The sequence below is a fragment of the Homo sapiens genome, chromosome 20, assembly GCF_000001405.40.
Source record: "Homo sapiens chromosome 20, GRCh38.p14 Primary Assembly".
In the NCBI taxonomy this organism is placed as follows: domain Eukaryota; kingdom Metazoa; phylum Chordata; class Mammalia; order Primates; family Hominidae; genus Homo; species Homo sapiens.
The window spans coordinates 4875399-4898655 of record NC_000020.11 but is presented as its reverse complement, the minus strand read 5'-3'; the positions used below and the strand labels follow the sequence as shown (position 1 = coordinate 4898655).

Here is a 23257-nt window from a genome sequence, read left to right as displayed (position 1 = left end):
CTTGTCTTTTCCTCTCCTTTCCTGCTCCTCTCCCCTCTTCGCAGTGCAGCCTCTTGCTTTACCCCAGGGCACTGCTCAGGAAGTGGAGCCTGCTCTGGCAGGACTGTCCTAAGTTCACGGCCAGCTGTCTCTTGCTCTGTCAGAGACAGGCTGAGTAAGGCCTGGCCCTCCCTGCGGTGGGAGGTGGGTGTGAGCTGAAGTCAGGGACTGCATTCTGATGAGTCAGAATCCTTCGGGACCTCAGGGTTGCCCTAACGCGGCACGGGGATAGGGGAGCCTTGGAGGGCGGTGAGCCATGTGCAGGTGTTCTGGTTGCCAGGATAGGCCACACCCTGGGAGGGTAGGCTGCAGGTCTGCTGATGGAAAGAAGCTATGTGGACTAAAGGCTTTGGGGCTGGCAAGCTCTGATGGTTCCCAGATCCCAGCCCTTGCTAGTCTGCCCACAACCACCAAGCTGGGCTGAAGGGAGGAGGGTCTCCTCAAACCCCCCAGGGGGCAGGGCAGGGATATCACTGACCGACTAGGGGAAGGAGATGTGGTCTGGGCCTTCCAAGAAGGGCTCAACCTGACTAGCACCCTCTTTCATTCTTTGGGTACAGTGTTCAGGGCTCTGTGCTTCAAGTCCAGAGTGCACGGCAGAGCTTTTTTTGGCTCACTCAGGATCCTTACCTTGCCCATGGAGCACTGGTTCTCTGGGGAGATGTTCTTTTTCTAAACCGCTGACTTATCCGTGGATTTGTAGGCATAATCCCTCTGTGAATTTGGTCAGTGTCTCTAGCTGAGCATTATTGGTTGACCTGAATAGGGGATGAAAGCTGTGTTTATTGCAGTGAAGTGTGTACCGTGTGCAGCTCTGCCCCAGCTCATGCCAAGGAGGCCAGGCCTGGCCAGCAGCTGAGCCTGATGGGCAAAGTTGCTAATGGGACACAGAAGGGAGGGCCTGGGGGAACTTGGGGTAAATACTTTTGGTCACAGAGGGCATCATCTTGCCCACTGTTGGGGCACAAGACCTAAACAGAACTACCTGGGTCAGCGTGGTTCACCTCCCTGCTGGCCTGGGAAGCAGTTTGAGCGGAGTAAGAACAGGAGAGGGATTTGACACCCTACTGGGATGGCTCAGGGACCCAAAATGCAGAGCTGTGGCCTGGAGGAGGGTGCGTGTCTGTGCGCCCCATGCCCACAAGGCTGGGTGAAAGCAGCCTTTCTTGCTGTGTTTGTGAGGAGTCAGAGTGAGTCCCCCATGACCTTTGGCTGTGCAAGGAATGGCAGCCCCACCCCTGCTTCCATCCTCCCCACAGTGTGGCCATTTGCTTAGTCATAAATCAGGTGGTGCTGACTCTAATCACGTCAGCAACTGTGTGCTGCTGGGCAGGTGCAGGTGTGCTGGGGACTTTGGTGGGGTGTTGGGCTTGTGATAGGGGTTTTCTATGGTTGTCGGGGTGTGGGTGGTGCCCGTTCTCTTAACCTGGGCAAAGAGAAAGAGTACTGGCTCAGCCCTGCAGATATTCAGTGACTGGTCTATGTGGCAGGTGCGGGGCCTGGCCATTGTGGGGCGCAATGGTGACATCGAAGCACATGGCTTGCAGCACGAAGGGCAGCGCCATCAGGGAGACACAGTGCATCCTCCAGGGGACTTGGTGGGAGCCCTGGAGGAGGTGGTGTTTGAGACAGGCCCTGCAGGCTCCAAGGGCTCTGCCCAGGAGGGCTGAGGGAGCAGCTTCCATCCCAGCAGGGGCAGGAGCAAAGGCAGGAAGTCACAGCCTGGCATGATCCCCCTGCCCAGGCACACAGAGGCCAGAGCTTGGGACTTATCAACAGGCACAGGGAGCATTCAATGGCTTTGTTAGCAGGGGACTCGCCCCCGGGGCTGTGCCTTGAAGGACGTTACTTGGTTACTTAGTATAGGGGGTGAGGACCATCCCAGGGGATCAGTGACATCCATGAGAAAGGTGATGGGGGCCTAGGCAAGCCTCAGGGGTGTGGGATAGGAAGGTGACTGTGCTAGGACTGAACTCATTCCCCAGTCTCACTCTTTCTCGTCCTGGGGGTCCCTTCCTGCTTTGAATCCTTAGCTGGAAAGAGAAGCAGCACGGAATGGAATGTGCTTCATGTGTCCTGATTAAAGAATCTTTCCAGTGGAGCGGCTTAGAGAGAGCCTTTGGGATGGGGGAGGGGAGCGCCCCTGCCAGCACCTTGTGGGCAGTCTGGGCCTCCCAGGCTGAGGGGGGCTTTTGCTGTGAATCTGAGCCTGCAGTGCTGTGTGTTGCCTGCACCCCTTGCTTCCTCTCCGACCAGCAGGTGGGCAGTGAGCTGGGGCTCCGGTGGGGGCTCCTGCTCCGCACGGCCTCAGACCCTGTCTGCAGACCTTCTTCCGTGTGGGTCCTTAGCACACTTGGGGGCCTGCTGTGCAGGGGGCTGCGTGTCTGAGGCAGCGAAGGGGCACTGAGGCAACGAGAGAGGCCGCTGGTTCCCCCCTTGACTGGCCAGTCACCGTGGGGGGCACGTTTGCTGCACCCCATGTTCGTGTGTCTCCTCTTCTCTCATCCCCCCCACGTCTCTCCACCCTCCATCCCTTCCTGTTGGGATGCAGACTCCTCCACCCTTCCTGTTCCCATCTTTGCGCTAGGCCAGACGAGGCCAGGCTACCTTGTCAGCCGCACCACCTCTCACAGCCTTGCCTCAGGTTTCCTGTGGGGTTAGTGAGGGAAGAGCAGAAATCCCCAAATGGCCAACTCCTCCGTGAGCATATGCGCTGTTCCCATCCAGCAGAGCAAGGTTGGCAGCCAGACCTCAGTAGGGTGAGGCCCCCTCTGGTACTTGGACACCCAGATCTCACTCAGGACAGCATCTGTTCTAGGGGTGCTCACCAAGATCAATACTGCCAGAGCTGGACGCATGGCCATTGCAAGTGAAAGTCAGATTTTGGGATACTTTTATGGAATTCTAACCCCTTGGGTATCAAACCTACATTTCTGAGGATAGAGATATGTTTACAGCATGTGGCATTATGACCTTGGACAAGTGACCCCTCGAGCCCCGTTTCCTTTGTGAAAATGAAAGAAGGCTTCTCCCTCAGGTGTCCTGGGAATGATATATTTCGCCTAATTTTAATGAATCTATTGTGTTTTTGTAGATTATTATGTTTCCTAAAATACTTTTTGGGAGTTTTTGCATATGAAAATGTGAACTCATATTTTAGACTTTTAGTTCTGCTAGTTGCTTAGATAGATCCATCATAGGCTGTGAATTATCATTTCTTTTAGACTTCTGTGTTTATTTTCTGCAGTTGGGGTAGAGAGACTGTGAGCAGGGAGCAAGGTGGAGAGGAAAGGCAGATGCAGCCGGGCGTGCAGGCCTGACTCCCAGCAGCACTGCCGGAAGGATGGCAGATGGCCTCTGTGGGCTTTTTTGGGTTGTGTTTTTGCTTTGGAGAAGCTCACCACTCATTTCCTTAGGCTTAGGGCAGCAGAAGGAAAAGTTTTTCGTGTCCAGCTTTCGTGATTTCTAAGACACAGTGTCAGACTTCTCCAGCTCCGAAGTGGTTCCCCTGTTGTGTTTCGGTTCTGTATCCTGCATTGTGCATTTGACTGCCTCTTGCTGAGTACCCAGTATTTCTGTCACGCTGGATGTTGTGGGTGAAGGGAGCCTGAGGACAAACCATGGCCTGTGCCCTTGAGGGGTGGGCCCTCTATTGTGCAGAAGTGTCTAGATTACAGGAAGGAACAAGGTGCTGTGGTCAAGTCGTCCCCCTCATTTCACATGGGCTCTTGATCTGAGTGGAATGCTATCCTGGAAACCTGTTTCATTCTATAAAAATGATCAGAGTTGATGGGAAACCCATGAAGGTGAAACAGATGTGTGTCTTTGCAGAAGACACAGTGAAACAGATGTGTGTCTTTGCAGAAGACACAGTGAAACAGATGTGTGTCTTTGCAGACGAAAGGGAGGGCCTGGGGGAACTTGGGGTAAATACTTTTGGTCACAGAGGGCATCACCTTGCCCACTGTTGTGTCACAAGACCTAAATAGAACTACCCAGGTCAGCAGGCAGCATGGTTCCCCTCCCTGCTGGCTTGGGAAGCAGTTTGAGCAGAGTAAGAACAGGAGGCCGATTGTAGATGCCACAGCATGGGGGTACATTTCCCAAGGCTGACTGGCTGAGACCACGTGAAGCATGTCTGAGTTGTGCAGGCTGCAGACCCTTCTTCCTTCACTGCACATCTCTCCCCTGGCATGAAAGTTTTCCTTTTCTTCCAGGGGCCGTTGTCTTTTTGCATTGGAGGTTGTGGGCCTTAGCCCCAGTTGTTGAGGACTTTAGGAGGCTTTGGTGCTTTCCAAGCCTTTGCTTAGGGAAAGGCAGCTTCCTCACGGCCCTTCCTCATGGCATTCCCTCTCCCTCTCCCTCTTCCTCCCTACCTTTTCCTCCTCCCTCCTCTCCTTTGACCTTGATCCCCTGAGCTTTGTGTCAAGGAGGTCTTCATTACCGAGTTTTCCCCTGAGCGAGGTTTCAACAGTTCTCATTCTGGTTGGTCTGTGATGTCAATTCCAGCTAACCCTTGTTCCGGGAATTAGTACAAAGCCTTTAAAATCCAGAGAAATCAGGTCAGGGTTTTGAGAGTCCCCTAGCCAGCCTGCAGCCGTCATTCTTTTGTGGCACCTCTGAGCTTCCCAGAGTTCCCACCCCTGACCCTTGGTGTCTCTAGGGCCCTCCAAGACCCTGCCCCGCCGTCACCACACTGACTTTCCCGCAGGCTGGTGGGAGGAGAGTCTTACGGCATCTGTGGGGCCACCCTCAGCCTTTCACTCCAGGCCCCTCTTAGAAGCATCACTCTGACCTCTCCAGCAAAATGAAAGGTAGGATGCCCCCTCTGAGAGAGCCCTCCTGGCCGTTCTCAGGCCTGCTGTAGGCACACAGCATGTTCATGTGCTGAGAAAAGGTAGGGTTTGGCCAAGAGAGTCATTGTAGCTGGTTTAGGAACCTGGCCTCTAACCAGATTGTCTGCCCTAAGGAGAGAGAGTTCCTCTGTCTTCTATCCTGTCAGGTTCCTGGGGCCCGTAATGGAACCTTGTCCATGATATGTGCTCATTGAGTACAAGGGGTGGCTCCAGGAGACTTGAAGGTCTTAAATCTGGGGACTTCGAACTCATGATTGTTTATAAAACTTAGAAGCATGGAGGGATGCGGTGATCAGATTGGGGCAAGGGAGAGACCCCACTTCTCTTTCTGTATATGTATGTTGGGGTACAAGTGTAATTTTTTTGATTTTTGAGCCACTTGAAAGTAAAGTTGCAGGCTGAGCAAGGCGGTTCAGGGCTGTAATCCCAGCACTTTGGGAGTCTGAGGCGGGAGGATTGCTTAAGCCCAGGAGTTTGAGACCAGCCTGGACAACATAGTGAGACCTTGTCTCTACAAATAATAAAAATAATTAGCTGGGTGTGGTGGCGTGCACCTGTGGTCCCAGCTACTTGAGAGGCTGAAGTGGGAGGGTCGCTTGAGCCCAGGAGATGAGGCTTCACTGAGCCATGATCACGCCACTGCATTCCAGCCTGGGAGACAGAGCGAGATCCTGTCTAAAAAAAAAAAAAGTAAAGTTGCAGATAGCATGATGGCTCACCCCTACATACTCTCCTAGCAATGACGGTGTCTCTTGTGTATCACAGGAGACCATTTGTCACACCTAAGAACATTAACAATCATTCTGTTTCATCATCTCATATGCAGTTCGTATTTAACTTCCCAGTTGTTCCTAAAATACCTTTCCCCATTATTCCCTCTCTAAACCAGTCTCCTTCGTGTGGTGCATTTGTTTGTTGTGTCTCTTTGCTGTCTCCACCTTTTTCCTCCCCACGTCATCATCTTTTTAAAAAGATTCCAGACCTGGTGTCTCGTGTCTGATTTTGTCTTGATTGTGTCCCTGTCATATTGTTTGATTTGTCCCACAATCCCTCTGATTTGTTGTCAACCAGAAGATGGGGCTGGAGGCATGGTTGATTTAGGGTAAACATTGTTGCCAAAATTACTGTGTAGGTGATGTCAAATCCTTTGTATTTTGTCATGTCAAGCAGGCACATAATGGCAGATTATAGGGTTTTGTGCCCAAATAAAAAAATTTGTTACCATCCACTTAACTAAAAAGGAATTTAAAATCATACATTAATATGGGAGACCAGGCTGGGCACGGTGGCTCATGCCTGTAATCCCAGCACTTTGGGAGGCTGAGGCGGGCGGATCACCTGAGGTCAGGAGTTGGAGATCAGCTTGGCCAACATGGTGAAACCTCATCTCTACTAAAAGTACAGAAATTAGCTGGGCATGGTGGTGGGTGCCTATATCCCAGGTACTCGGGAGGCTGAGGCAAGGACAATCCCTTGAACCCGAGAGGCAGAGGTTGCAGTGAGCCGAGATAAGGTAGACCAGTGAGAACGTGGAGGTGATGACCTTGGCTAAGGGTCTCTGCCCTGTCCCCACTGCCAGCTGCACTGAGTCCTTGGATGCAGAGGCGGCTGGGCTCCCTTTCCATCATTTAATAGTCACGTGACTTTGGACAAGCTCTCTCCAAGCCCTGTTTCCTCAATGGTAAACTAACCATAAGACTGTTAGTGAGCAGGACACCATGGCTCATGCCTGCATTCCCAGCACTTTGGGAGGCCAAAGTGGGAGGATCACTTGAGCCCCGAAGTTCAAGACCAGCCTGGGCAACATAAGGAGACCTTGTCTCTACAAAAACATAAAAAAAAATTAGCCAGGTGTGGTGGTGCACACCTGTGGTCCCAGCTTCTCGGGAGGCTGAGGTGGGAGAATTGCTTAAGCCCAGGAGGTCAAGGCTACAGTGAGCTGTGATTTGCGCCACTACACTCCAGCCTGAGTGACAGAGCGATACCCTGTCTCAAAAGAAAGATTGTTAGCGAGCATCAGGTGAGCTGATGCCTGGTACCTGTCCACACTCAGTGGCTGACTCTGTTTATCTTAGTTTTCCCCACTGGGAGGGAAGGAGGCAGGTAGTGCAGCGGGTGCACAGCGAGCAAGGGCTGGACAGCCTTGTGTAGCAACGCAGACCTGATGAGTGTAGCAGGGCTTGGGGTTGGCCACACTGCCAGTGTCCCCAGCCAGGGTGGGCCCCACTGACCCTGGAATCTATGGCAGAGGCCATCAGAAAGCTGTAAGGGCATTTGATCCAGCCCCTCCTGAGGCCGGAGACCCTCTTGCCTCAGCCAAGCTTGTTCTCTAAGGCGGGTCTACTCGCTTTTGTTCCTGCAACTCTAGCTTTTCTGGGTGGTCTCCCTTCAGTTACTCCACCCTTCCTCTGTTAGCTGGTATTTGTGATGTTTCAAGGGCCTGGGAGTCTGATTGAGTCCTCTTGTTACATGAAAGTTTAATGAATTTGGTTTTCTACAACCTTTCTTCTTCAACTGTCAGGTCCTTCTTGCCCCAAACATTTCCCTGGGCTCTGAATTGCTCATCCTCCTCCTCATGGCCTTCTGCTTCCCCTACCTCCCCTCCCCTAACCCCCATTCTTCCTTTTTAGGCAGGTGACTGCCCTGGCAAAAGCAGCTCTACACAGGAGTGAACAGTACTTATCACCAAATAAGGATGGAAGCTCTTTTCCTGTTTTAAATTTGGGGAGTTTTTTCAATATTTGGCATGACTCTGGTGTTTTAAGGAATGTGTTGTCATCTCCCTGCCTCTGCTACCCCCATCCTCCTAAGTCCCCACTCCCTGAAAACACTTGTTAGATTGATAGACATAGGTTTTTAAAATGTCAGCTCTGTCGAGGGGCAATAGATATGCAGCAGAATTCACCCTTAAGCTGTATAGTTAGATGAGCTTATACCCATGTGTACAATCACATCACCATCACCACGAATAGATAGAACAGTGCAGGCTGCTTTCCAAAAGTTCAGCAGGTCGATGGATGGATGGATGGATGGATACAGTAAATGATAGAACATGTCATCAATTAAGAAAAAGTTTTCTTTGACACATTATGTCTTTCTTTTTTTTTTGAGATGGAGTCTCGCTCTGTTGCCCAGACTGGAGTGCAGTGGTGTGATCTAGGCTCACTTGCAACCTCCACCTTCCGGGTTCAAGAGATTCCTCTGCCTCAGCCTCCCAAGTAGCTGGGATATAGGTACCTGCCACCATGCCTGGCTAGTTTTTGTGTTTTTAGTAGAGATGGGGTTTCTCCATGTTGGCCAGGCTGGTCTCGAACTCATGACCTCAGGTTATCCTCCTGCCTTGGCCTCCCGAAGTACTGGGATTACAGGCATGAGCCACCACGCCTGGCCTTGCTTTTCTTTAAAAGTAGTTGGTACACACACTCCTAGTGGTAGATTCAATAAAGAACCTATGGCTCCTCAAAGCCAAACCTGTTACATCTCTTAAGGATTATTTTTCAAAAATTTTTCCTGCAGTTTAGACTCTTGAGTGTTCATTTGACAATGCAGGGTTTTGTACCAACTTTGGTTGTTGTCTTGGTAGATGAAGGAAGCCAGGCACAGAGTATATATGCTCTGTGTTGGTGAATTTTGTTTTTGTTTTATTCATTTTCATTAACAGTTTAGTTCTGGGCAGATACATTTTGTATCTTCATGGTGTTTCCCATAGGAACCATTGGCTTTTAAAGTTTCTCTGATGGCACCAGAGGAGGACTGCAAGCCGCCCGGCATCTGGAGGCTTATCTGGTTGAATCATGAAAACCCATGCACATTTCACCCCCAACTCTGAGTACTTTTAATCTAATCACCACTCTCTTCCAAATGTGCAGTCAAAACCAACTTGCCACAAAGACTTAACCTCTTATTTTTAGTTTAATAGAAGTCCTTTCTGAGAATATAAATAGCTCCTTCATTTCATTAAGTATTCATTGGTGCTGAGGATACATGGTGGGTCAAGATGGTGGGTGAAGCCAGTCCACTTCCTAGTATCGGGGGATGCCCGCCTCAAGGTTGAGATGGGCAGGACAGCTTGTGGGGAGTGCACCAGCACAGACAGCAGCAGCCCGAGGAAGGGAGCAGATAGAGGCTGGACACAGGCGGAGATCTGATTCAGGCTGGCTCGTCATGTGAGCGGATGCCAAAGGGAATTAAAAAGCAAAGATGACACACAGAGCCATGCCACAGCCTATTGGGATGTCCTCTGTGGCTTGGTTCCTTCAAGACTGAGAATAGCTTCAGGGTTAAGGTCACCTCTCCCAGTTCTCCTACGGTGGTCCTTTCAGAGCAGGTCCTTCACTCATTTCCCTCTTGCTGCAGGAAGAATGCGGGGCATTTGTCATCTGGTCCCCACTGACCTTCATCATATGAGCTCCCTGTGCTTTCGCTCAAGTGGAGAATCTGCAGTCCTCTGAGGGTTCCTGGGTCCGTCCTGTGGCTCTTGTTTTGCACCTCCCCTCTCTCTGCCCGGAATACCCATAATCCCCCACACACGTGGCGAAGCACTTCTCGTTCTTTAAGACTCGCTCAAGCGACTGCACCTGCAGAGTCCCACAGCATTTCACACCGTCACATCACGGCCCCTTATATGTGACCATGATTAGTGTCTTCTTCACGCAGCAGAAACAGAAGGGCTCAGGAAGTGTTTTCCATCGTCGTATCTGCTTATAATTGTGCTGGTGTCAAGCAGATATCCAAGAATCATTTATCAGGTGACAAAATGATAAATCCCTTAACCTGGCACAGGGGTTGTCAGTCTCAGCCACCTCTAGAAGGCATTGTTGAAAATGCAGATTTGGTGCCACCCACCCCTGAATCTGGCTAACCAGGACGAGATGCAGAAATCTCCACATTTAACCAGCACTCCCAGAGAATCCTGAAGCAGCTTCCTGGTAACTTGGGAGGTGACTTGCAGAAATCTTGACAAAAAGTCCTAAGTTGTAGGGGAACACATTACAGATTCAAAGGAGATCCTGGAATATTTGCTGGAGGAGGTGATATTTTCTCTGTGCCTTAAATGACAAATGAAAGATGAACTCGTATGAAGGAGCTGGTGAGAGATACCAGGCTGGGAGTGGGGTTCAGGTTACCTGGGCACCAAGCTGGACATGGGGGGCCTCTGGCAGGGTTTTGAATAAAGTAAGGACTGTGGGAGTTTGCTTAGGTTCTCCTGCTGTCCTGAGGCTGGAGCCCGACATGGGATCTCGTCATGTCAAAGTTGCTGGTCTGCTCAGGATTTTGTTTTTTAAACTAATGTCTAGTGACCACTATTAACTGTGAGAATTTCTAGCTGCAGAAACCCACTGCCTCTTCACATATTTAAGATATATTTTCCCTGTAGACAGGTCAGAAAAACTTCTTTTGTAAAAGGCCAACAGTAAATAGCCTAGGCTTTGCGTGTCTCTGTTAATGCTGCTGAGCTCCACCGTGATAGCGTGAAAGCAGCCTTAGACCGTGAGTAAATAAATGGCTGTCCTTTGTTCCAGTACAACTTTACTTACAGAACAGGTAGCACCCCAGGTTTGGCCCACTGGCTGGTTTGGCCGCCCCTGGTGTAAAGAAAAGCACAGTTTAATGTATTTCCTTTCCAGTCTTTAGTACAAAATAAAAGAGCAGGCAGTCTTCTCGGCCTAGGGAGACCCACCTGGGTGCCTGAGGTTTACCTGGTCACATGAGTACGACAGGGGCCGTGCCTTGGGTGCAGAGAGAAGAGCTGAGAATTGACCGTCTTCACACTGGGCAAGCACCTAAAAAAGCCACTCTCATCACCTTCAGCCGTTTTCTTGGAAAATTGGCTTTGTTAATTGTGATCTAGGGAAGCTCTCGTTTAACGTGTGCATATGCTCTTGTTGCAACTTTCCCTAAGAACGTTTCAGTCAAGCCAGTGACAGAGCCCACACTTAGTGCTGGCGTCTTAACAGCTTGTGTCAGGCGGTGTTGCCTGGCTAGACGTGAACACATAATGCTGGCATGAGCAGCCCTTTCCAGATCATCTCGGGAGACTTTTTCTATCGTCATCTATTTCAGGGGAACTCAGGGTCCCAGCAGCTTGCAAATGAGCAAGTATCTTTACAGCAGCGCTCTCGGGACCTTTAGTCCTAGTTAAGCCACCAAATGCTCACCCTGAAAGGTGCCCAGGTCGGATGCCAAGGTCAGGTTCAGGCTGAGGTCTGACTGAAGAGTGGAAGCCAGATCCAGTCTTTCCTTTTGCCATTTCCAGTGGATCACCAACACAGTGTGATGTGTGATGGCCACATTCCTAAGGATAAAATCTCTAAACGCAATTCACCATTTGTATTCCACTGCCCTAGGATGCACTGGTTGAAGTCTGAAACCATGGTAAACCAGATGGCATTTGGACCATTCCATACAGCATCCGTCCCTAATTACACGCTGTCCTTTCAGTACAGTCCTGAAAATTTGTGCTTATGGAATACCTAGAAGTCAAACAGTGTTTTCCCTTTGACGTACATTCCCACTTCAGGTGTCCTTCACTTCCGCTATCCTCTGGGCCCCTCTGGCAGGTAATTATAACTGGATGGTTGTTGAAGGGCATGCCTGTGGGAGTGGTCAACAGCAATGCATCTGGTTTGTATGGTGTAGCCTGCGTCTGTGCCTTAAAGCCAGCACCCTTCCTACTCTGGATTGATGTCATTGCATGATTAAACAGCCAGGAGAGCATCTGTAACAAGGAAGTCTTGACCTCACTGGCTCAGAATGGTGTGTGCTGGGCTCTGGACTTGCAACGAGACTGCTTGTCCTTTAGCTAGAGCCAGTTTGATTTCTCAGTCCAGTTCCTGTTTCACTGTGGGTAGGACTTGCTGCCAGACAGCTCAAAGGGAAGGATGCTGGGTCCCTGTCTCGCTGGCCAGGCCACTGACTAGGCTCTCTGGGGCATTTCAGGATTTGGATGTGTGAGAGTTCCCAGCCCTGCAAACAGGAGGAGTCAGTTTAATATTTTACCCTCAAAATTATATTAAAAATAGTGATTAAGTTCTCATGCTAACCCATAAAGTCACTTTAATGTGACTTAGCTGAAATGCTGTACATTTCCATTAAAAAATGGTAGTCTTTTTGAATAGCTAAAGTGTTCATGAAGTCAATATGAAGTATCTAAAATATAATCAAATCATGTCATTTGAGGATCTCTGCATTTAGTTTGAGGATGTGGGCAGCAAATTTAATGGAGATTCTGCAAGTTTTCTGGGCCCTTTAAAATATATTAGAATGTCTTTAAGTATTTTTATGATTAAGCAGAATATTTATTTTATCTGCTGTCACGTTGTAACTTACAGCTCTGTAGATCTAGATCACTATTATGATTTATCTGTAATCGGTGATTAGGGCAGTTTTTGATTTACAAAATGAAACAACGGAGGGAAATTTGTTCCTGTGATAACCAATAAGAATTTTAAAGGGAGGAGGAGGGAGGTAAAAAAGCAGAAATACACTGATGTTTAAAAAGGAGTTTATAAGCTCAGCAGGAAAGAGGGAACCTCAAATGCCCGCAGTCTCCCGCCTGCAAGAGGAAAGGTGGTGATGGCAGGGGCCGGTGTTGGGGTGTTGGCACTGACCACGGGGCCCACCCTGGAGCTGCCTGGGTGGGAGGAGAGTGGCAATGGGGAGGATGAAGAAGCCACTGGCTGTGGCTGCATGGCACAGGAAACCTTTGCAAACTGGGGCTTTTTCTTCTAGGTGTGCCTGCATTTACTCATGTGCTGTATGTCTATGGAAAAGACTGTTAAGCTGTCAAATAGTGAACTACCTCGGTAGTTCCCGATGCCGTGATCATGGTTTTGGTCTCGTTTCTTTTAGGTTACCCCTGTTTCAGGCCAGTGCTTTTGCATTTTTGGCCCCTGCTCGAGCCATCCTGTCTTTAGATAAATGGAAATGTAACACCACAGGTAATTGCAGTTATTTCCACATATGTCATTGGGGTCCTTTAATGCAGGTGTAAAGGGAGGCCTGGACGTGCTGCCCTCAGCAGCGCTAAATCCTTTCAAGAATTAGGGACAAAGCACACAAACCCACAAACAGCTTAGAATGCTCCATCTGTGGATCGTGTCTGTCTCTCTCTTTCTGTCCACTTGTTCATCCCTAACCCTAGAGCAAGAAAGGATCAGAATTGACCTCATTTCTCTATGTTAATGAAATTGACAAATATGGGAACGGAATAGAAAAATATTTGTGCTATTTTTCTGCCTCTCTCTTTCAGTGGATTTTATGACCCACCAGTAATCACTCTCTTTGCTGCGTCAGCATCCCTTCTCTGAAACATCTTTGCTTTTTAAGGATCTGGCTACTGTGGTTTGCTGCAAATGACTTTCATTCCCCTTCTTTAGTGATTGCAAAGATCCTTAAGGAACCCGATAAGGTCAGGAAAAGATAGGGAATTTAAGAAAATTAGAGTCAGACCTGTACTCTCAAAAATACAATTACATTTTGACCTTCTAGGAGCAAAGTTTTCCAGCCTTCATTTCCTTCCTTGCTCCTAGGAGTTACTTTGTGACCACTGATTTGATCTGGGAACTGGAAAAGGCCCTCTGTTTTATCTAAGTTTTTCAAACCTCAGTCCAGCAACCTTGCTGTCGGGCATTTCAATGAGCTGTGTGCAAAGGTTGGTTTTTTTGTGTGAGGCTGGTGCTAGTAACGTGTATCACCACTTCAGTTAGCTTTTGACAATTTGGGGAGCTCTTAGTCGATGAATTCATTTGGTTAAATTAGCATTTGAGGATCCACCTTTCAGTGAGATAAGCTATACTGTTGGAGGTTGAATTTTAGGGATGGGGATTGAAACAGATGTAATAAAAACAGGGAGAAAATTCTTCTTAAAAGGTAAAATGAATATGTCATGTGAGACATCAGTGTCACTCCAAGAAAAACTTTGTTTTTGTTTTCAAGATGTTTCAGTTGCCAATGGAACAGCAGAGCTGTTGCACACAGAACACATCTGGTATCCCCGGATCCGAGAGGTAAAAGACAAGCGTTGTCTGCTTTTGGCTTCTTCATGTTTCTTCTCAGCTTCAATGTTGGTTGACCCAAGAAATAGCAGTTACTTTTACTGAGCCCTTCTTTTCTTTTTCAATTACTGATAGTTTATTTCTCTTGTTTAAGTAAATGTAGTTAAGCAATACTCTAAAATAAAGCATATGGAAATGCTCTGGGCAACCTTAAGGAATGGTTTCCTCCCTCCTGCACACCCACAGACCTGTCCACTCACACCCGCCAGCACAGCTAGCTGAGGTTCGTGGCTCACTGGATGGAGCTACAGAGGCTCATCATCGACAGATAGCAGAATTGTTCGCTCTGGCCTCAGTGTTTGCCTGTGTTCATTGAAAGAACTAAAGATATTTGTCTGCCAAAGTGCAATTGAACAGAAGCAGACATGAAGTACGGCTGACAGTGTATTAATATTTTCCAAAACGTGTGAGATAATTCACCATCAGTTCAGAATGAGCACAGATGTGGCCATTCTGCACACTAAAAACATCCCTTTAGAATTTCTGTCAACAACATTGTCTTGTCGATGTCCTGGGGGGCTCACTCTTTAAAGCTGAGAGTCTTTATGCTGCAGTGTTCCTCTAAGGCTGGTCTTTAAATGTTGTGTTTCTTAAAAGGGAATTATAAATTTTTGCCTGCATCGTTTAACAGTGAAAAAGGCATGTGGGCCGTGTGTCCAGGACCTATTTCTGTAATACACCTGCATCATGAATGCAGGCCCCAGTTAGTGCCCCCTGAAGTTTCTTGTCGGGTCCTGGGGAATTTTCTAGCTATCTCTCCCAAGTTAGATGATGTAATAACTTATTGCCTTGCAGAATTATCAGTTGTGGTTGTAGGTGACATTCTGAGTGTGCAGTGTACAAGCAGCTCACTCTCATGTCTGTGCCATCTCTTGTTGCAGATCCAGGGGGCCATCATCATGTCCTCACTGATAGAAGTAGTCATCGGCCTCCTCGGCCTGCCTGGGGCTCTACTGAAGTACATCGGTCCCTTGACCATTACACCCACGGTGGCCCTAATTGGCCTCTCTGGTTTCCAGGCAGCGGGGGAGAGAGCCGGGAAGCACTGGGGCATTGCCATGCTGTAAGTGGAAACATCTCCCCTCATCCCACCACTGCGGGGCAGCCTTTAGGAACATTCACACAGACTTCAGGAGATAATGTTTTTCAATAATAAGAATGGTCTGACAGTTTCAACTTTATTTGCTTCGTGCTGGGGAATAGTTGAAGGGTTTTTGACCCAGAGTTTGGGAAGTGACATATAGTTGACGTATTACAAAGACAGACTTAGCAGCAATATGAAGAGGGTGGATTGTAAGTTTTTAAGCTTTGGTAGTGGGGTAAGGTAGTGGCGCCATTTGTTTTTGACTTTTGAGGTCTTGCCAAGTCTCATGTTCATGAGTTGACATACTGAGAAGCCAAATTTTTATATCATGAGACTCAAAAATATTCCAGAGTGGCAGGAATCTGGAGTATTTCCAGAGAAGTCGTGGGAAAGGTCTGTTGCCATTGATGATGTGACTCTTCTCCCCAGGCCACACTGAGCTCTGCACTCCTGACGGGTGGGTGGTTGGGGGAGGGACATAGTTTCTGCCAGGGTCCTGCTAGTCAGTGCCTGTCCTTTTGTACAGAATGTCACATCCATTAAAGATGTCCCTTGCCCTTTAAGTAAAGTTAACATTTTGTGTTAATGAAGTCACAGGGGAGTTTGATAATATTACTGATGATTAGAGTCACAGAACTCTTTGTAACACAGAGCCCACATTCTCTATGTGTCTGCAGAGCATGTTTAAGAGTTGATTATGTGTAGGTATATGGTTCCATTACTCTGGAATTTAACCAGCCAGTACAACTCCTAAAACAAAATAAGTCATCACATAAGAGAATTTTTCATTTGCTCTGTTTTGTGAAATAGTCTGCAGTTATTTAATAACAGGTGGTATTTATTGATCTTTTACTATGCATCAGTCCTTTATATAACACTTGTATATAGTATCAGATAAGGCACATCCTAGTGTTATCCCATTTAACAGCAGAGGACACTGAGCACCACGACGTAATGTGATTTGCCCAGAGTCATACAGTGAATTAAGTGGCCACCGTGGGTTTCAAAACCCAGGTGGTGGACATGGGCCCGAACCCATCATACTCAATCCTGTTCTGTGTATTAGAACATGACGTACAAATAAAAGGGAACCATAGCAGAATTGTTATCTACACTTTACAAATTAAATTAAGGTGTGTGAAAATATCAAGTTTTTTTTTTTCTTTAAACAAGGTTTGAAGGAGACACATCTCACACATGAGCATGAATACCCATCATCATGCTTTCCCAAAATTGTTCTTTTTTTGCAATGGAGTCTCGCTCTGTTGCCCAGGCTGGAGTGCAGTGGTGCGATCTTGGCTCACTGCAACCTCCACCTCCCGAGTTTAAGCAATTCTCCTGCCTCAGCCTCCCGAGTAGCTGGGATTACAAGCACCCACCACCACACCCGGCTAGTTTTTGTATTTTTAGTAGAGACGGTTTCACCATGTTGGCCAGGCTGGTCTCAAACTCCTGACTTCAGGTGATCTGCCCACCTTGGCCTCCCGAAATGCTGGGATTACAGGCATGAGCCACCGTGCCCAGCCCAAAATTGTTCTTACTATTCTCATTTCACCAAAGGTTGGTCAAAACATTCTTCACACCAGCAGAGATGGGAAGATGGCATGTGAGAATAGTCTTTCAGCGAAATGTAATTAATGCCAAAATGGATAAATTGTAGGTATAGTACAGTAAAATTTGAAACCAGTAACAAAAGGATGAACAAAACCCACAAAGCACTTACAAGCTTAAAAAAAAAAGTGTTAAAAATCACTCTCAGAGAGGAAATTGAAACTTTGCAATTAATTACTGATAGTTTAGGAAATGATGGCAAGAACAGCACCAGTCACACTTAGTAGCCAGAGGTGTTCTCAAGAAAATTCACAACCTTTAAAGCAGATACAGCACATGAAGAATTTCAGTAACTAAGAAAACAGGACAAAAAAATGAACCTAGTAAAAGCAGGGGGAACGAATTAATAAAGATACAGAAAATGTGACACAAATAGAAGTGGTAAATCTAAAAGCTGATCTCTTGAGGGGGAAACAAAACCCAATGTAGACAAACTTCTGGCAAAGCTAAGCAGGATAAGAGGAAGCCTGTGCACATAGATCTGCCACAGATCCCGTCAGAGGGAGCAAAACTGTTACCTCCCCCCAAATTAAAACAAAAAGTAAGAAAATAGTGGTTTTCAGAAAACTTAAGTAACCAAAATTGACTCCTCCTCACTCTTATCTCTAAGTATGGGGGTGCCTCCACACTTGATCCTGGCCCCCTTCTCTCCATGCACTTCCCCCAAGGAAATCGCATTTCTTTGATGGTGGATAGTTCCATGGAAACCTGTAGTTCAGACCTGTAAACTCGATACTTACAGATCCAGCCCCTATTTTGCCCCTCCACTTACTGTTACACAAGACATCTCCATCTGTAAATGAAAAAGCCCCAGACTTTTGATTCCTTTCCTGCCCCTGAAACCAGTTTCTTCTGCTTTCCTCCTTTCGGTGAATGGCACAACCGTGCCCCTAGTTGCTTCAGCCAGAAATGTCTATCTGTTCTTCAGTCTTCCTTTCGCCTCATCCCCCACACAGCCCATCCTGCCCTTCCTCCTCCGGAACAAATTCTGAACCCGTTCTCTTTTGCAGGCCTTCACTGCCGCCACCCTCTGCGAGCCTTGCTCGCCCTTGGCCATTGATTCCTCACTGTCCCCAGCTTCTCCCTCATGTCTCCCAGGGGTCCTCCTCTCTCCCCTCCTTTTGAAACATCAGTTAGACACAAGCTAGAATTCTGGAAGCTTTGGGGTTTTCTTACTGTTCCAATGTCTGGAGCCTCACGTGCTGCCCTCGGTGGGTCTGCTTGCGTCTCTTGGCCTGGATACCTGGAGCCCCTTTGCTCTGAGCACCCAGGCATGCAGAGGTGGGACATGATCTTGAATTATCTAGATGCCTTCCTCCACTCCACCCTTACTTGTCTCTTTCTGGAACCTCTTCCTGAAGCCTCCTGGACTCTTCCTGTTTCCTCTCCTGTTTTCTATCTCTTTGTCTTTTTTCTCTATTCGTGAGAATTCTCCTTTGCTTTATCTCTTATTCCTTCTGCCAAGATTGTCATTTATGCTCTGGTGTTTTTTCAGTTTCCAAGAGCTCTTCTGTATCCTTGGGCTGTCAGCTCTGTGAGAGCAGGGCCTACGCTCTGGGTGGGTCACCTCTGCACCCCCAGCACCTGCCCCTCCCGTGGCTGAGCTGGTGCTCAGTGAGCAGGTTGTGAACTAATAAAGGAAGGCTCAGGAAGCCCGGTAAACCCATGACCACAAGAGCAGCCGAGATAGTTGCTGAAGGACTCTGATTCCTAAAAGAAGCCCTGGGCCCAGATGGTTAGACAATGAGTGCATTCAGTCTTCAAGGAACAGAGACTATATGCACTAACTTGCAAACTGTTCCAGAGCTCTGTGAAAGGAGGGAAACTCCCCAGCCAATCTTAGCGGCAAATTCTGACTGAACTAATACAAAAGGAGAACCATGGACCATTGTTTTCTTTCCTGGGGTTGTGTTAAAAAACAAACAAATCCTGAGCTGATGGATGTATTGCGGCACATTCTAAGCAACGAGCCCTGAGTTCAAATGTCTTCAGGTAGCGTGCTAAAGTTCAGCATCATTCTCTACTGTAAGACTCCTTCCAATCTTTCAAAATGCAAATGCGCAAAAGACTCTATTCACCTTCAGAAAAGGGCCTTAGTATCCAGCCCTGTCCACCCTTAATTTGTTTTTTAAATGTCACACATCTATAAGCATATCTTGACAGACTATTCCTTAGAATGTTGTTTGGGAAGATGCTGCTACAGATAACACAATGAAAGAACAAGGCATAATGCGTCATTTCAAGAATTCACAGATGATCAAATATTAGAAAATGTGTTGAAATCGATCATGGCTCCATGGTAGGTTTTTTTTTATTTGTTAAATTTTGAGACAGGATCCCGCTCCATCACCCAGGCTGGAGTGCAGTGGCACAATCTCAGCTCACTGTGGCCTCTGACTCCTGAGTTCAGGCGATTCTCATTCGTCAGCCTCCCAAGAGTACCTGGGACTACAGGGTAGATTTTATTAATAAGGTCTTATTGATAAAACTATGGTAATAGTCCCTTCCCCTGAATTTTATTTTTAAAATTCAACCTACATCCTTGTTGCAAACTTAGCAATGTGAGAATAGGAGGATTTTTTTTTTTTTTTTTTTTTTTTTGAGACAGAGTTTTACTCTGGTTGCCCAGGCTGGAGTGCAGTGGGGCAATCTCGCTTACTGCAACCACCACCTCCCGGCTGCCAGCAATGCTCCTGCCTCAGCCTCCCAAGTCGCTGGGATTACAGGCATCCGCCACCACTCCCGACTAATTTTTTTGTATTTTTAGTAGAGACAGGGTTTCACCATGTTGGCCAGACTGGTCTCAAACTCCTGACCTCAGGTGATCCACCCACCTCAGCCTCCCAAAGTGCTGGGATTACAGGCGTGAGCCACCGTGCCTGGCTGTATAGAAGGATCTTTATGCGTAAGATAAACATGCCTCCTACTTGAATGATGAAAGACTCAAATCAGTCCTGCCTTTTGAAGTCAGGAACTTAAATAAGCTTGTTTATTATCACGGGTATCATTTAAAGTTATTCTAGATGTGCTAGTCAATTTATAAAACAAGAAAGTAAAATAATGTGGACCCATACCAAAAAGATCAGAGAGGAGAGGGGATGGTGACTTGCCTGTAGAGGAATTAAATACATTCCACAACTTCATAAATAATACTGTGGTCCTGGGACAGGGGTAGACATTGGCAGAGCAGAGTAAGAAGAACAGAAACAGAATCAAAGAAAAATAAATATTTAGTATAGATGGCAGTCATATTTGAAACCAGTGGGGAATGGACAAATTATGTAGGAAAAACTAATTATTTTTGGGAAAAAGTTAGACTCCTAATTTATATCAAATTGTATTTCAGTTGAATTAAAGACTTAAATATACAAAATAACCATAAAAGTGCTAGAAGAAAACCTAAATAAGTTTTTAATCCTAAGGGAGGGGAGATCTTTCTTAAAGCAGATATTGAAAAGAGAAAGAGAAAGATAGATTTTACTATTGACACATTTAAAACGTCAGAAACCACTGAATTAAAAACAAATCTGTCGTGGCAGCTCACACCTGTAATCTCAGCACTTTAGGAGGCCAAGGTGGGCAGATCACTTGAGCTCAGGAGTTCTCAACCAGCCTGGCCAACATGGTGAAACTCCATCCCTATTAAAAATACAAAATTAGCTGGGTGTAGTGGCGGGCACCTGTAATCTCAGCTACTCAGGAAGCTGAGGCACATGAATCACTTGAACCCACGAGGTGGAGGTTGCAATGAGCTGAGATTGCACCACTGCACTCCAGTCTGGGCGACAGAATGAGACTCTGTCTCAAAAAAAAAGCTGGGAAAATACTCATAAAAATGTCACAAGAAAGGCTAACATCCCTAACTCGTAAAGAGTTCTACTGGTTAATTTAAAAGTGAGAGAATCCCAGTGGAGTAATAGATGAAGGGTGTGATAGGAGTAGCCATTTGGCAAAAAAGGGACTACACCTAGCTCATTAAAGTGTGAAAAAGGTTTATCCTCCCAATTTATTAAAATGTGTATTATCTACATGATTCTGTTGGAATTGAGAGTGAATGAGGTTGTACAAACTAAGTCACTCTGATGGAGATGGAGTTTAGAGACGGAGTCTCAGGGAAGGTTAGTGCGGCCGGTCAGTGACTGCTCTTTCTGGCACAGTGCATACGTCCTTGGTAGGACCTACATTTTAAAACTTATTTTTTTATTGACTTTTCTTATGGAAAATTTCAAACCTATTCAGAAGTGAAGAGAATAGTTTAATGAACCCCCATGTGTCAATACCAGGCACTCCAAAACAGTATACTTTTATCTATATCCCACTGTTTTTCAGCTCCCTCCAATTCAGTTAAATTCTAGGTATTTGAAATTTAACAGTAATTAAGCTCAGAAATCTAAAGCAAAATAATAGTCCCCTCCTACTCCATCTCTCAAAAAAATCTCATGATTGTTAACTAGTAAAAAATTTTGTTTTTATCCTTACATATTTTTATATTTTTATGCAAATAAGTACAAACTAGTATATATACATAATTTTATTCATTTTTACCCCAATAATTTGTTGGGTTTACTTCTCTGAGACAGCATGTTTAGATGATCTCTTTCTTTCTAAAGCTGCACAGTGTTTAGTAATGTAGTCTATAATGTATTCAGCCATTTCTCAGCTGATGCTCATGCATGTAGCTTAAATTTTTGCTGCTACCAAAAAAAATGCTGAAATATATACCTCAACGTGAAAAGACTGAGTATTAGAAGCAATGATGATACAGTTTTTCAATTAAAGCTGTTTATGTTGCTTCTGATGTCATACAGTATGGGAATTTTTATTTATTTATTTATTTATTTATATTTTATTATACTTTAAGTTCTAGGGTACATGTGCACAACATGCAGGTTTGTTACATATGTATACATGTGCCATGTTGGTGTGCTGCACCCATTAACTCGTCATTTACATTAGGTATATCTCCTAATGCTATCCCTCCCCCGTCCCCTGGTATGTCCATAAAACAGAATGCTAAGCAGTCACTAAGGTGCTGCTGCAAATCTCTGTCTGATGAGGCGGAAAAGCAAATAGATACTGAGGCAGGTCAGGAAGCTGCGTAAAGCATGATTCCAGTTTGGCTTAGATAATAACCTGTTCATGTCTGGGGACAAGGAAGATGACAATCTGTCTTCCTCCAGCACCCAGCAAATATCCAGGGAGTGAAAACTGTTCAGAACAGATAGACCACGATATTACATGGTTTTATCACTCAAGGGGGATTATGGATGATCTTCAGGGTTTTATCTTTTTCTTTCTGCTTATCTGTCTTTTAAATTTTTTGTACAATTTAGTATGTATTACTTGCGTAACATTTTAAAGTAAAAGTTAGCAAAGGTAAACATGAGGTGGGAAGCACCCAGTGGAGTAGACAGCAGCCCATCCTGAGAGCTGGGGCTAGAACGCTTCATCCCTTTGCTCAGTTAAGATGTGTGGACATGGGCGGGTCTGCACCTCTAAGCTGCTGCCTCTCTGTCACAGGGTGCCTGCCCCCAGGTGTATTTGAGAATAAAAATAAACTCGAAGTAGAGAGGTTTTAGAGCAGAAAGAAACAGTCATGTTCATCTGCTACCTAATCTGCTTTCTAAATTTGAGTTGCCAGATTTGGGCCTAAGATCTGGGTGTCCCTCCTCAAATTCTGTGTGGTCTCAGTCCCCTCTTAAATGTGCAGGTGTGTTGCCTGAAATAATGATGACAAAACTAGCAGGCCTGGGGCATCTTTGGATCTCCTAATATTCACTCTGAAACAAATAAGTAGCATTTATTTTTTCCAGACATGAAAATTGCATGTAGGTCTAAGTTTAAAATATTCCAGTTTTAGTATCCCTTGTTACCATATTGTTTTTTGTTAAACTTCACTATCCCAGAGGAATTGAAATAACGTGGGCACTGTGTGTGTTTTCGACCTTGAACTGGTACTGGCAGAGACCCCTGATGGATCACCAGTTCACCGAAGCGCCTGAGTAGGCAGGGAGACCCGTGGAGCAACACACGCATGTTCTCCAGCCGGGCTGCCATCCACACCTCATTAGGAATGTGACAGTGGAGTCACACTTGACCGGCTGTCGATGGGGCTAATGATTCCATCTCAACAATTGGAACTGTGCCCAGGAACAATTAAGCTTAGCTTTGACTGAGAACCTACTCTTCCTGCCAGCTCTACCTCAGGTTGTAAGTGAAAGAGCGAGACCGCGTGGAGGCTTAGACGCATTGTTGGGCACGAGTTTTGTTTCGGTGATGAGTAAAAATCCACCTGGGGGATGGGAAGTGGCCCCACACCTGCCAGCCCCGTGGGACACCAGACCGATGTCATGGACTGGTGTGTCAGGAAGTGCCATGGTCCTGCCGTGGAGGGGTCAGCACCTGCCTCCCATAGCACTTAGTGCAGTTCAGTCAGGACCGTGAGGCTCAAGGAGAGGGACTTACGCAGCCCAGCCTCCTTGCCCTGTGACCAGGGTGGCAAAAGGAAAGAGTTCAGTTCAAGCCATAGAGCTAGATTCCTGGTCCCCAGTGCTACAACCCTAGCCGTGTGATCTTGGACCTCTGGCTTTGTCTCTGTGAAAAGGAGACCA

The 23257-nt window shown here is 46.6% G+C and overlaps 1 protein-coding gene across 2 annotated transcripts in view, besides 3 other annotated features; it reads left to right on the top strand.

The window, feature by feature from the left end:
- Positions 1-23257, top strand: part of SLC23A2 (solute carrier family 23 member 2) — a 157956-nt gene that overhangs the window by 111658 nt on the left and 23041 nt on the right. For both annotated transcript variants that reach the window (NM_203327.2, NM_005116.6), the window contains exons 7-9: positions 12747-12835; positions 13833-13903; positions 14833-15014. In NM_203327.2, the coding sequence (NP_976072.1) occupies positions 12747-12835; positions 13833-13903; positions 14833-15014 (342 nt within the window). The remainder of the gene's footprint in view (positions 1-12746; positions 12836-13832; positions 13904-14832; positions 15015-23257) is intronic.
- Positions 1366-1887: an enhancer, noted in NCBI's record as "H3K27ac-H3K4me1 hESC enhancer chr20:4877415-4877936 (GRCh37/hg19 assembly coordinates)". NCBI's record gives its function as "activates a minimal SCP1, AML or CMV promoter by ChIP-STARR-seq in naive H9 embryonic stem cells {active_cell/tissue: H9 hESC(naive)}" and the evidence as "EXISTENCE:reporter gene assay evidence [ECO:0000049][PMID:30033119]".
- Positions 4115-4615: an enhancer, noted in NCBI's record as "H3K27ac hESC enhancer chr20:4874687-4875187 (GRCh37/hg19 assembly coordinates)". NCBI's record gives its function as "activates a minimal SCP1, AML or CMV promoter by ChIP-STARR-seq in primed H9 embryonic stem cells {active_cell/tissue: H9 hESC(primed)}" and the evidence as "EXISTENCE:reporter gene assay evidence [ECO:0000049][PMID:30033119]".
- Positions 22792-22941: an enhancer, noted in NCBI's record as "active region_17502". NCBI's record gives its function as "activates an Ori minimal core promoter by ATAC-STARR-seq in GM12878 lymphoblastoid cells {active_cell/tissue: GM12878}" and the evidence as "EXISTENCE:reporter gene assay evidence [ECO:0000049][PMID:35858748]".